Raw genomic sequence first — 15,262 nt, forward strand, 5'->3', positions numbered from 1 at the left:
ATTACTTCTACAACTCTTCTTTCCTTTAGCCCAGAGCAACCTGTCATTTCTAATAGCTAATAGCTTCCCTCAAATGCTTGGAAACAGGCTAAATAGCCTAAAAGAACTTTATTTACCCTAGTACAAAATGTTGAAAAGACACTCTACTGGAAACTGAATGGAACTATACAAATTTCTGTCCTGGAAATTAATGTTGTTTTTCCGTTTAATCACTGAAAGCATATTACTAAACATAAAAAATCATGGTTTATTTTTCTTTACATTTTATTATCTATTTTAATGTTGACTTTTTAAAATATTTTACCTGAGGGACAAAATGTTCATTTAAACCCAAATATTTTAAGATTTATTTCTGGTGTCTTTTCATCAATTATTTATAATTTATAATCCAGATTTCCCAAAGGGGATTCAAAGAAATCCACAAAAAATTTCCTAGTCTTCACTTTATTCTCTCAACTAGAGATCATGTTCTAAAGCAATGAATCTCTATTTTAATACTAAAATTTAAACAGAAGTCTCGAGATAGTCAATTCTCAGCTTTTGGGGAATACATTATTCTGCATATTAAGACAAAAATAGGATGTAAACCAGATGTTCCCAGATTATGAAATTTAGAAAAGAACATATTCAAAGTGAAGGTAACTTTTAGCATATGTATTTAAAGATATTGCAGTCACGCCCCACAATATTGAAATGCTATATTTCTCATAGTTTGACTACATTCAGTGGAAATATTCATGTGTTTATATTATCAGGTTTTTAGTGAGTTCTATCATTTTTGTAATTGCTATAGCTAGTATTAATAAATGTCTTCTTTTTATATGCTGAAATAAATTAATGGAGGAGGCAGACACTATGCAAAATGGCTGGGAATGAGGCCAAATCTTTTTACATACATCCAGGGACCAGTAATCTTCTAAATGGCACTTTAAGCTCTCTTGCCTAAATAATTACAAGTACAGCCACCATGTAATTTACTGAAATAATTATCCACTCTTCTAGTTCCCATCACCATCTCAAGTCCATAGCACTTACCTTGTCTTTATTTTCAGAGCCAGAAGCCTCAGGCTTGGTTCTAATCACAAACGGGGTAGACAGTCGCAGCAGGACCCTTTCAAAGGTGGCATTAACCTTTGGAGATACAATCTCGAAGCAGTCCTCAAACTTGAGCACTTTGTGAGTGTCACATCGAAGCTGCTTCCTTAGACCTTCCCCCAACTGAAGGACTGACATGCTGGGATCAAACATCAAGTGGAAAGGGAAGGCTCTACAGAAGGTGTTGATGCTAATTCTGAGGTCCGCAGGAACTTGGGAGGTTCCCTGTGGAAGGTTCTTCATGATATTAGTATTTTCACATTCTTTGATAAGGAAAGTAAGACAGCTACAATTGCCTGGGTTTGAAACATCAGAGCATAGCTTCTCATTTGCAACCTGTTCCACTTCCACATCCAGCCGATAGATCTTCTTTCCTGCAGCCTTAATCATCCCCAGCATTGCAAACCCCACAATATGGTGAGGGTGGAAGTAGTGGAGCATGAGAGTACCTTCAGGGAGCTCTTTGCATAGGAAAGATGGTGACTCCAGAGTGGCCTGTTTTCCAAAAGAAGTTCTAATGTGTTCCAACAAAGCATCAAAGCCGTTAAAAAAGTCCTGCAAAGTGCCACCTACAGCTCGAAGGACTCTCTCATTCTCATGAAAGCATATATTAAAGAACTCTTCACCAAATCTTTTTTGAATTTCCTCAAACTTCAAACCTAGAGGTAAATGGGAAGCAAATGTTAGTGAAGTCTAATATAAATAATTGAATTTATAGCTTTTTAAGTGCTTATCAAAAGAGTAACTACTGAATAAAGTAACAAAGGTTATTTCTCTTAGATCCACAAATTTCCACATAGGTTAATTCACTCATCTTGAATCAGAAAATATAAATTTCAGTTCATCTTCAGGATGCCTCTAAAATGTTAATGAACATGAACCTTTTTGTTTGTTTTTAAATAGACTACATATTTTTAGACCAGTTTTAGAGTCACAGCAAAATTGAGCAGAAGGCACAGTTATTTCCCATATCTCTCTGCCCCGACACATGCACAGCCTGCCCCATTATCATATCTCCCACCAGAGTGGTACATTTATTACAATCCATGAACCTACATGATGCATTATTATCATCCAAATTCCATGGTTTACATTAAGGCTCACTCTTAATATTGTATATTCTGTGGGCTTAAACAAATGTATAATGATATGTATACACTTATCATATCACTTAGAGCATTTTCACTGCCCTAAAAATCCTGTTTATCCCTTCCTTCTCCCTAACTCCCAGAGCATCAGCTTTTTAAATGTTGCTAATCTAGCTGTTCACCTTTCAATAGCCTTGCAGTAGTTATCATAAATAATATATTTTTCTTTTTCTTAATGATTTCCCCATTCTTCACAGAATATCCAAGTTGCCTACATATTATGTCCATATTACATCCATATTATCATCTTACTTCTTATCGAAATGCATGTATTAAGTGGAAAATATAAACCAGAAAAGAAATCTATGGCACATGAATGGGGATAGGCATCAAGCTATCTGGTGGAAACAAAAGGCTTACATTAGCAATCTCAGGGAAAGACATGCAGGTCAGCTAGACCTCAGGGAAAAGGAGAAAAAACAAGAAAATAATAATGACAGAACTCTGGAATGATTTACATTCTTTCACCCACAAAAGTAAGGGCAGCCAAGCATGGAGGAGGAATCTGATGAGACAGAATTAAAGGTTATTGTTAAGTTTTCTCCATATATAATCACTCCCTGATGCCCTGGCAAAAGAGTTCCACCTTATAGTGCTGGATATTACAATGAAAAATAAATAAGTGTGCACAATGTATTCTATCGTAATAAGAAGCAGGATCACATGTGATCACAAGATCCCCCCCTTGAGGATGATATGAGGAAAAATGAGGGAATTTATGTGCCAAAGAGGACTATAACACATACAAAAGATTTTGGCCTGCATATTAAAGACAGCTTCTACCTAAACTCTATTGCTTCTCCTTTGACATTGGTTGAAATCAATACATGTAGTTTACATATTCATATTTTCTTGCCCCATTTCCATCATCTCATTTGAAGTCCTGCAAATCAGGCAGGACTGGGAAAAGAAGGTCACTTTGCTAGCGCCCCATTAGAGTGCAGAGCAATCTAGGCTGTCTACAGCTTAGCTGCTTTCCTACCTTTATCATTCCCTGAGTGTTCCTCCCAGCCAGAAGTGAGGCAAATGAACAGAGTGAATAATATTGTTTTTAAAATAGTCAAAGCACATCTAATATTCTTTAAGAGCTTACTATAGAGTCTAAAACTTCTGGTAGCCAAGAAGTCAGTTTGACAAAGAACTTCTTAAAATCAATGTGATAGGAAAATGAGTAGAAAACCTAAGTGAGAAACAGTCCCTTTATTAATAAGCATTTCATATTCATTTTGGTTTCATGGATTGGATGCTCAAGACTTGTTGAGAAAGTCACTTATTAAGATAAAAATATCACCACTCATGTCACATTGCCAGGTTACAAGACTGCTCTTCAACATGTGTTGCATTCACTAACAATAATGTCAGCCAGAATAGACAATAATAGTACTTATCTGTCCAGTTCTCTAGTGTAGAAGAGAAAACAAAGACAGACAATATTCACTGCCATTAGTCTCCTGTTCCAACTGCTCTGTTGAAACTGCTTTCATAAATACTTAAATCAATACATACTGTTTTGTCCTTATCTTACTTAACCTTGTTTGCTGTTTTTCCTTTAATTTGACACTATTAATCATCCCTTCCTCCTAAAACTCTCATCTCTTTTGGCTTATCAAACCATACTCTCCTGGTTTGATTACTCTGCATGAACATTAATTCTCACTTCCTTCACTAAAACTTCTTTCTATGCCAAATCCTTACATCACCATCACTATGTTATAACTAGAAAACTCTAAGATACAAGTTAAATTTATATACACATTCAATGACAGTCCTTTGTTGCTATGAAATCTTCCAGTTATGAAATTCTTATTAAAAACTAAATACAGAATAAATAAAAATTCCTATAAACTGACCATATATGCTGAACTACAATATTCCGTGTGTCACTGAAAATATTCCATGGATTGCTTCTAAACTTTGAAGAACTGTATTTTCAAAAGACTTCAGGTCCATGTGCATTGAAGAGAAAAAGAGAAGTTCTTCTAACTTGCATTTTTCATAACATTGAAAAGGTCCTCACAGTTATGGTGCACACAAATGTAAAGACAATACAGTGTAAGCTTATGTTCTGTGCCTAATGCCAGGATCCCAAAGAATCATCCAGAAAATAAGAAGTTCACCATAGGCAACAAACTAAAAACTACTCTATGCGCAGCAATCTATCAACTAGAAAGCCTGCTGCTTTATAAAGGACCTCTGTACTTTAAGGTACAATATTGTTAATTTTCAAATGATGATGCTAAGGAATACCAGATGCTAAAGTGACGGTTGTATTACTAAAAAAAAATGAATTTTTTTGAATATTACATTAAAATATTATGAATGGCAATTCTATATAAACCCATAATATTCAATTAACTAATAAAGATTTTTATTCCCAGAACTGTTAAACTGCACAAGATCAGAAAAGAAAAAAGTTATTAGATTTGAAAATATTAAAACTAAGAAAAGATTACTTCAACTTTTACAAATATACAAGTCAATAGCCAAGACTTTGATTTTAAACTTTAATCTCAAAATTCAGAAAGCACAGACAAAGTAATTCAATTCAGACAACTGATGCAATTCTGACTCCCAAAGTTCCGCCTACGATTGACGCAAACCCCCTACTTACAGTAAATCATTTGAAACATATAGACAATGCTAATCTCCTCACATCACAAGATTCTATGACAGCTTGACATCTGGGTCTATAAGAATACATTTCCTCAAGTGGCAAAATTTATAACAAAGCTGCTCTTATTAATGGGTAAGTTAAGTTAGAATTTTTAACTACTGTTAATTCACCTCTTTAAAAAGGTGAATAGCATAAATGCTGGCATCCTTTAGCTGTAAATGAAATACGATCTGTTCCTTCATGATCTGGCCCTGTTGTCTCTCATCTGCTATCCCACCCCACCTCAGATGGCATTTCTTGAGGACAAGGACCTTGCCCTATTTATGTCTGCGTATCTATCACTGGCATAATGCCTGACACCTGGAGAATAAGCATTGTTTCATAGAAATTAAGCATTCATCTAAGTATTTGTTTGGTGAATATTACTAACCTTTTAAGGTTGCACTTGTGCCACATCTAAGGATATGAAAACAAAAAGACACATGACTTTCTCTCATGGGCCCCTACAAAACAGTAAATTACATTATGGTTGGGCTACAACAGGGGTACACAGGAGTACCCACGGAAGTAGAAGAAAAACAGTATCTGCCTCTCCTCAGAGAGACAATGTTTGAAGGGAGACTTAAATAAAAAAACAGGTTAGGCTGGGCACAGTGGGTCATGCCTGTAAACCTAGCACTTTGGGAGGCCAAAGCAGGCTGATTGCTTGAGTCCAGAAGTTCAAGACCCAGCCTGCCCAACATGGTGAAACCCCATATCTAGAAAAAAGTACAAAAATTAGCAGGGCATGGTGGTACATGCCTGTAGTCCGTAGTCCCAGCTACTCGGGAGGCTGAGGTGGGAGAATCACTGGAGCCCAGGATGTTGAGGTAGCAGTGACCCGTGATCATACCACTGCACTCCAGCCTGGGCAACAGAGTGAGACCCTGTCTCCAAAAAAAAAAAAAAAAAAAAAGCAGGTGGTCCCAGCCTGGGCAACATGCCTAAACCCTGTCTTTACTAAAAATACAAAAAAAGAGCCAGGCATAGTGGTGCAGGCCCGCAGTCCCAGCTACTCTGGAGGCTGAGGTGGGAGAATCACCTGAGCCCAAGCAAGTCTAGGCTGCAGTGAGCTGTGACTGCACCACTGTACTCCAGCCTGAGTGACAGAGTGAGACCTTGTACTGAAAATTACTGTAGAAGAGTGTAAATGTCAGGAAGCATTCACTGGGGAGCCATCTTTGGGAGGAGAAAGAAGATCACAAAAAATAACTGAACGGTACCAGGTTTAATATCTGAGTGGCGAAATAATCTGAACACCAAACCCCCATGACACAAGGTTACCTATATAACAAACCTGCACATGTACCCCTGAATTTAAAATAAAATTTTTTAATCTGTGAATTTATGTTTTAAAACATACATCAGAAATAAATTTTAACAATGAGAAATGTGGTATAATGAAGATGAAGCCAACCCCCATGTGAGTACTCTGAAACGAATTTTTTCACCTAGTAACCACATCTAACAAGTGCAGTATCATAAACATACACTACAAAACTATCAGTGTTACTCCTTCCTTTCAAATCACAAAGCACATGTCCGTGTCTTTCTTATAAAATAGCAGATAGTCCCTTGTAGTATTTTTTCTGTGATCCTTCTATTTTCCATAAACATATTTAGAGGAACAACCTCTAAAAACACTATAATGTAGAATGAGAAAAAAGAAACCAATGGAAGAAGGACTATAACTAAATGAATTACAGAGAGAATTTCCCCTGAACCATGGAAAATCCTACATCTACAGATGGAAAAAGCATAAATTGCAACCAGGAATGATAAGAAACACAGACACACACACACACCCCTAAGAATATCTGGTTGGATTCCTGAAAAAAAAAAAAGAGAGAGAGAGATAAAGAAGATCTTTTAAGTTGCAAGAGAAAACAGGTAATTAAAAAAAATTTACTTTTCATCTGCAACAATGAAAGCTAGATGATGAGAGAAAAATACAGGTGAGATACTGAGAGAACTGAAACCTAAAAGTTTATCACCCAGAAGAGTATCTGGCAAAGATTCAGAGATTCCATCACTCAGTGAAACACCTTAGAAAATGAAAAAAAACAAAAACAAAAAAAACAAAACAAAAAAACACATTAATCGATCAAGAAATCACTCAGAATGAAGAAGTAGAGGAGTCTGGTTAAGAGAAGAAGGAAAAGTAGACACATTAGTGAGCAATGAACCCTACAACACACACATAGACACATGCTTTCTGATGTATGTGTACATATACATCATATACAAATGTGTACATACATACAAATGTCCACACATTTATACATATTAGACATGTATTATGGATAATGACCTATTACCTGGACAGTTGTAGTATGAACATTAATTTTAAATTACTGATACAGGCCGGGTGCGGTGGCTTACGCCTGTAATCCCAGCACTTTGGGAGGCCGAGGCGGGCAGATCACCTGAGGTCAGGAGTTCGAGACCAGCCTGACCAACATGGAGAAACCCTGTCTCTACTAAAAATACAAAATTATCTGGGCATGGTGGCGCATGCCTATAATCCCAGCTACTTGGGAAAGCTGAGGCAGGAGAATCGCTTGAACCTGGGAGGCGGAGGTTGCAGTGAGCTGAGATCACACCACTGCACTCCAGCCTGGGCAACAAGAGCGAAACCCATCTCAAAAAACAAACAAACAAACAAACAAAAAAGCTACTGATACATAGAAAAACTACCAAACTACCACAAGGTAAATTTTGTTCATATTCTGAAACTAAACAATCTCAGCAAACCACAGGACTTGGATGGTGAGGAGAGGGGAGAAGGTAGAGAGGAGAAAAGTAAACCTATTCTAAAAGTTTCTTCTTAAGGGGATTTGGGGGGATAGGAATAATATAATCTTAGAAAGAAAATAATTGATATTTTGTTTTAAAATAATAAAAAACCCATGGGTCTAATTCTACTAAGAGAAAAAGGAAGATAATCAATAATGAAATGGGAAATTGGAGTAGAACTCTCCAAATACAAGGTCAAATATTATGTATATGTCAACATGATCAAAACAGCAAAAGACCAGAAACAAAAACAATGTAAAAGAAATATGATAAATCAAGAAAATCATATAGCTCACGGATTAAAGTAAATGTAAATGAATAAATCATCCCATTAAATGAGAAAACTCTCACAAGAATTGTACTTATAAAAGGTGATTAAAAAATAAAAGGTTGAAAATGAGTCAACAGGCAAAGAATTCAAAGAAACTGCAAGAAAAAAAGCAGCAATGGAGGGGCAATATTAATATCAACAAGGTAGAATAAGGGGAGAAGTGATAAACAGAATAAAAAGAGACAAAGTAAAACAAAATCACAATTTACAAAGAAGACCTAAGAGACATAAACCAAGCAACATTGTAGCTAAATATATAAAGCAAAAACAATTAGGAATTAATTACTAATGAGTATGGGGTTTCTTTTTGGAGTGATGAAAATGTTCTAAAATTGATTGTAGTGATGGTTGCAAAACTTTGTGAATATATTAACAACCATCGAATTGTACACTTTTGTTAGGTAAATTGCATGGTATGTAAATCATATTTCAATAAAGCATTATATAGTTTCAAAATTATATATTTTCAAAATTAAGAATGAAAGAAGAGGCTGGGCACAGTGGCTCACACCTGTAATCCCAGCACTTTGGGAGGCCGAGGCGGGTGGATAATGAAGTCAGGAATTCGAGACCAGCCTGGCCAAGATGGTGAAACCCATCTCTACTAAAAAATACAAAAATTAGCTGGGCGCAGTGGCAGGTTCCTGTAATCCCAGCTACTCATGAGGCTGAGGCAGGAGAATCGCTTGAACCTGGGAGGCAGAGGTTGCAGTGAGCCAAGATCGCACCATTGCACTCCAGCCTGGGTGACAAAGCAAGACTCCATCTCACAAAAAAAAAAAAAGAATGAAAGAAGAAATCTATACAACTATAATTATAGTAGGAAACACTAATACATGTCTCTCAGTACCAAGCTATGTAACGAATAGATCAGCAAAATCATAGAGAAATTAAAATTATATACAACAGAACAATGAAGATAAAAGAAAACCTTGATAAAAATAAAATTTTAGTGAAAAACTTTAATGTGTCCTTTTGAGAAATCAAAAGATCAAAACTAAAAAGCAAAATCAGAGAAATTAAATAAATGTTAATAATAAAAACTAACAAAAAGGCAAAGTCAGAAAAATAAAATAGCAAAAGCAACAAACTCAAAACATTTGTATATGTACATATGTATTATATGTATGTAAAATTACAAAAATTGCTCAAATACTTGATCATAAAAACCCCATAAAATATTTTAAAGATTTTACAGATCACATTTTTAATAATAAACAGAAATAACCAAAAGGTGGCATATATATTTGAGAGTTAAGCAATACATTCTCTTGGATTACAGGGAAAGTCAAAATTGGAATTATAACTTTTAGAAATCAATAAAAAGGAGCCTGCATCATACACAATTCTGAGGTACAACAAAACTATACTCAAGGAAAATGCCAGAAATGTTTTCAGCAACAAAAATAAATAAGTAAATAAAGAGCTTCCAAATTAAGAAAACTGTAATGAGCTTAAGAAAAAAACTATGGAGTAGGAATTAATAGATAAAAGCTGAAATTAAGAAAGAAAGTAACTAAATTGGAATAAGAATACATAGGCACATATTAAGACGAATTAGATAAATCAGAAAAGAAACATGCAACTTGCTGTGAACAAATGTGTAAATGGAATGGAAATGGGTAAGTATCTGGCAAAGTATAAATGACCAAAGTTGACTCAAGAAGAACCTGAGTTCTGGCTAGCAATTAGGAAAAAAACTAGATGACTGCAAAGTTTTTAAAATATTTTCCGGCCATAGAAAAAAATTAAAATCACTCAATTCTTTTTATTAATCCCAAATAACTTTATGTCAAAAGCTGATACAGTATACTAAGACCAATTTCTCTTATGAATATTTGCAAAAATAGTAGCAGATAGAATCTAGCGATTTATAAAAGAATAAATCATCATGACCAAGTAGGATTTATATCAGAAATGAAACGGTAGTTCAGCAGTGGAAAATATATCAGCATAAATTATTACATTCATAAAAGTAAACAAAATATGATCATATCAGTAGATTCTGAAAAGTGTGAGATTCAAGTCTTAATAAGCATTTTGAATAAAATAAGATATAAAGAAACTGTTCAAATATAATAAAAGATCTTTTCCAAAAACCAGAAGCAGCTTATTCTAAATAGCAAAATACTAAAAACATTTTAACTAAAATCAGAAATTTGACAAGTATGCTTGCTATCATCGTTTTCAATATTATCTTGGAGGTTCTAGAAAATACTGTGAGATATGAAAATAAAATAACCAGTAAACACATTGCAAAAAAGCATAAAATTATGTCATTTTGCTGAAGTAAATCTGTGTATATGAGAAGTTTTAATATACCACAGAACAGTATTTCAATTCAAAGGGAAAAGAATGGTTTACTTAATAAATGGCACTAGCCATCTGGAAAACAATAAAATTAAATCCCATCTCATGCCTCAAACAAAATCAAATTCCAGATCAATTAAGATCGTACAATGCAAAAGATGAAGCAATAAATATTTTAGAAGATCTAGGGGACGGTATGTATGCCTTAACCAAAACAAGCAAACATATAAAAAAGATGTAAAAAGATGCTTGATTTTGTATGATATAAAGCTAAGCTAAAACTGTCAAAATAATTTAGAATATGATTTTTTTATTTTAATAAAATTACGATTGTGTGTGTGTGTTGTGTGTAAGTTCATAATGCATCTCCCCTGACATTCTGCTAGTCTCTCTATCCTAAATACCACTACTTTGTTTTAGGCCACCATGATCAGTAGTCTAGAATTATACATCTCATCATATTGTTTCTCTGGAAAGCCCTCCAATGACTGTTGCCTTCTGAATAAAGTCCAAAATCAGCAAGGCTTAGTCCAGCTTTTACTTACTAGCCCATCCTTCCCTCTCTCAGTCCCCCATTTCACACCTCTATACCAGCCATTATGAACCACTTTTCAGTTTCCTGAACATGCTCAACAATCTCTCTCTCATTTACAGGCTTCTGTACATGGCTGGTTCTGTGTTTTGTTTTATTTTGTTTTTTAACTAGGATTCTGTTCTCCTACCTACCCCACTTAGCTAGTTCTCTGCTTCACTTATTTTGCATATCTTCACACCAAAATTCCTTCAGAATGCTTTCCTTGACACTCTGAGACCGAGATAGATGTCTCTACTTGTTAGGCTTCCAAAGCACCTTGTGATTACCCCCAGCCTAATATTTCCCACACAATAGCTGCTAATGTGTCCAATCCCTCAACCAGACTTAACCTCTTGAAGAAGAAAAAGGAAATGTCAACTAGGCCACCAAAAAAGAGTAGATAGATAGGGGAGGAAGGAAACCATTCCAGACTGAAGAAACATATATGCTAAGGTCCAGAAAGACAAACTATGGAGTTTTAGAGAAACTAAATGAAGACCACTATAGTAACCCTAATCTTTGGTACCGTGCCTTGTCTGTGGTGAATCTATAAAAGAATGAATATAAAACCAATGGATTAATGAAAACAAATACATCTGGATGTGACTGATCATATGTCCAGGCATAATATATGTAGTGATAGAAATTCATATGTGTGCATACATGATTTTTCCATTGCTATATTTTGTACCCTTCAGTATTCACTGGCAGGCCTTTTATCACAAGCTTGGGCAAGTTATGCCAAATGACTAATTTAATAGGTGTGAATGCTTATTGTTTGACAAATTCTTGTTCCTTTGCCAACAAGGAGCCACAGGTGTTGAGTGCTAAGAAGGGGACAGGTTCAGGGAAGCACATGTCTAATCAGGCAGCCTTCTCAGGCCACTGTGCTATGCCTGCTATCAGATGCTGGCAACCTGGCAGGTGACAAAGGGCTCATCACATTCCCCAGCCTTCCTTCTTCAGCACCCTGGCATATTGCCAGAGAAGACACAAAGCCAGCAGCAGCCCAGCAGCAGCCCAGCAGCAGTAAGGTGCAGAGTCAAAGAATGAGCAGACATGAGCTAATTACAAAGAGGAGCTGCAGGAGCACCTGCTTCAGCTCTGTGCCCACACCTGGCCCCTTATTCTGGAATGCAATCTGCCACACTGAAAATAGGGCAGTGGCTCCCAAGATTTGGAATCTCCCTGCAGATAAGTATTCTCATCACTTCTCACGCCTTTACTTTTTACCAGTCTCTTACCCGCTGGTGAAGAAGGTGGGGGAGGGGATTACTGTGACGTACATAGATTCTGGCTTTTGCTGATGATGACTAGCCCTGTTCAAATTGGCGGCCACAGAAGAGGCAGCAGGAAAGCATGATTTCCACATGGACCGATCCTCGGAGGGCTTACTCAGAGCTGTTAATCAATGCCAATGCCTCTTTAATGGTCACTTTTTTAAATTTCTTCTAAAAAAATGGGATACATGTGCAGAACGTGCAGGTTTGTTACATAGGTATGCGCTTGCCATGGTGGTTTGCTGCACCTATTGACCCATCCTCTAAGTTCCCTGACCTCACCCCTCACCCTCCAACAGGCCATGGTGTGTGTTGTTCCCCTCTCTGTGACCATGTGTTCTCAATGTTCAACTCCCACTTATGAGTGAGAACATGCAGTGTTTGGTTTTCTGTTCCTGTGTTAGTTTGCTGAGAACGATGGCTTCCAGCTTCATCCATGTCCCTGCAAAGGACATGATCTCACTCATTTTTATGGCTGCATTTTATTCCATGGTGTATATGTACCACATTTTCTTTATCCAGTCTATCATTGATGGACATTTGGGTTGGTTCCATATCTTTGTTATTGTAAACAGTGCTGCAATAAACATACATGTGCATGTGTCTTTATAGTAGAATCATTTATACTCCTTTGGGTATATACCCAGTAATGGGGTTGCTGGGTCAAATGGTATTTCTGGTTCTAGATCCTTGAGGAATCGCCACACTGTCTTCCACAATGGTTGAACTAATTTACATTCCCACCAACAGTACAAAAGCATTCCTACTTCTCCACAGCCTCGCCAGCATCTACTATTCCCTGACTTTTTAATAATCACCATTCTGACTGGCGTGAGATGGTATCTCATTGTGCTTTTCATTTGCATTTCTCTGATGATCAGTGATGTTGAGCTTTTTTTCATGATTGTTGGCTATGTAAATATCTTCTTTTGAGAAGTGTGTGTTCACATCCTTTGCCCACTTTATGATGGGGTTGTTTGGTTTTGTTTTTGGAAATATGGTTAAGTTCCCGGTAAATTCTGGATATTAGCCCTTTGTCAGAAAATTTCAAAACTTTTCTCCCATTCTGTAGGTTGCCTGTTCACTCTGATGATAGTTTATTTTGCTGTGCAGAAGCTCTTTAGTTTAATTAGACCCCACTTGTCAATTTTGGATTTTGTCGCAATTGCTTTTGGTGTTTTTGTCATGAAGTCTTTGCCCATGCCAATGTCCTGAATGGTATTGCCTAGGTTTTCTTCCAGAGTTTTTATGGTTTGGGTTTTTACATTTAAGTCTTCAATCCATCTTGAGTTAATTTTTGTATAAGGTGTAAGAAAGGGGTCTAGTTTTACTTTTCTGCATATGGCTAGCCAGTTTTCCCAGTACCATTTACTAAATAGGAGATCCTTTCTCCATTGCTTGTTTTTTGTCAGGTTTGTCAAAGATCAGATGGTTGCAGATATGTGGTGTTATTTCTGAGGTCTCTGTACTGCTCCATTGGTCTATATGTCGGTTTTGGTACCAGTACCATGCTATTTTGGTTACTGTAGCCTCGTAGTATACTTTGAAGTCAGGTAGCATGAGGTCTCCAGCTTTGTTCTTTTTGCTTAGGATTGTCTTGACTATACAGGGTCTTCTTTGATTCCATATGAAATTTAAAATAATTTTTTCTAATTCTGTGAAGAATGTCAATGGTAGTTTGATGTGAATAGCATTGAATCTGTAAATTACTTTGGGCAGTATGGCTATTTTCACGATATTGATTCTTCCTATCCACGAGGATGGAATGTTTTTTCCATTTGTTTATGTCTTCTCTTATTTCCTTGAGCAGTGGTTTGTAGTTCTCCTTGAAGAGGTCTTCACATCCCTTGAAAGTTGTATTCCTAGGTATTTTATTCTCTTTGTAGCAATTGTGAATGGGAGTTCATTCATGATTTGGCTCTCTGCTTGCCTATTATTGGTGTAAAGGAGTGACTGTGATTTTTGCACACTAATTTTGCATCCTGAGACTTTGCTGAAGTTGCTTATCAGTTCAAGAAGTTTGTGGGCTGAGATGATGAGGGTTTTTTTTTTCTTTTTAAACAGAGTCTTGATCTATTGCCCAGGCTGGTACACTCTCAGCTCACTGAAACCTCCACCTCCTGGGTTCAAGTGATTTTCCTGCCTCAGCCTCCCAATATCTGGGACTACAGGTGTGCACTACCACACCTGGCTAATTTTTGTATTTTTAGTAGAGTCAGGGTTTCACCATGTTGGCCAGTCTGGTCTCGAACTCCTGACCTCAGGTGATCTGCCTATCTCAGCCTCCCAAAGTGCTGGGATTACAGGTATGAGTCACCGCACCCAGCCAGGGTTTTCTAAATATAAAATCATGTCATCTGCAAACAGAGACAACTTGACTTCCTCTCTTCTTGTTTGAATACCCTTTATTTCTTTCTCTTGCCTGATTGCCCTGGCCAGAACTTCTAATACTATGTTGAATAGGAGTGGTGAGAGAGGGCATCCTTGTCTTGTACCAGTTTTTAAAGGAATGCTTCTAGCTTTTGCCCATTCCATATGATATTGGCTGTGGGTTTGTCATAAATAGCTCTTATTTTGAGATATGTTCCATCAATACCTAGTTTATTGAGAGTTAACATGAAGCGATGTTCAATTTTATCAAAGGCCTTTTCTGAATCTGTTGAGATAATCATGTGCTTTTTGTCTTTGGTTCTGTTTATCTGACGGATTATGTTTATGCATTTGCATATGTTGAACCAGCCTTGCATCCCAAGGATGAAGCCCACTTGCTCATGGTGGATAAGTTTTTTGATGTGCTGCTCATTCAGTTTGCCAGTATTTTATTGAAGATTTTTGCATCGATGTTCATCAGGGATATTGGCCTGAAGTTTTCTTTTTTGTGTGTCTCTTCCTAATTTTGGTATCAGGATGATGCTGGCTTCATAAAATGAGTTAGGGAAGACTCCCTCCTTTTCAATTGTTTAGAATAGTTTTAGAAAGAATGGTACTAGCTCCTCTTTATATTTCTGGTAGAATTCAGCTGTGAATCCATCTGGTCCTTGCTTTTTTTTTTGGTTGGTAGGCTATTAATTACTG

At 36.5% G+C, this 15,262-nt stretch overlaps 1 protein-coding gene across 2 annotated transcripts in view; it reads right to left on the bottom strand.

Annotated features, from left to right (window-relative positions):
* The window catches only part of GUCY1A2 (guanylate cyclase 1 soluble subunit alpha 2), a 344,458-nt gene that overhangs the window by 264,406 nt on the left and 64,790 nt on the right, over positions 1-15,262 (bottom strand). For both annotated transcript variants that reach the window (NM_000855.3, NM_001256424.2), the window contains exon 4: positions 1,036-1,754. In NM_000855.3, coding sequence (NP_000846.1) covers positions 1,036-1,754 — 719 coding nt within the window. The remainder of the gene's footprint in view (positions 1-1,035; positions 1,755-15,262) is intronic.

Source organism: Homo sapiens, chromosome 11 (assembly GCF_000001405.40).
Source record: "Homo sapiens chromosome 11, GRCh38.p14 Primary Assembly".
In the NCBI taxonomy this organism is placed as follows: Eukaryota; Metazoa; Chordata; class Mammalia; order Primates; family Hominidae; genus Homo; species Homo sapiens.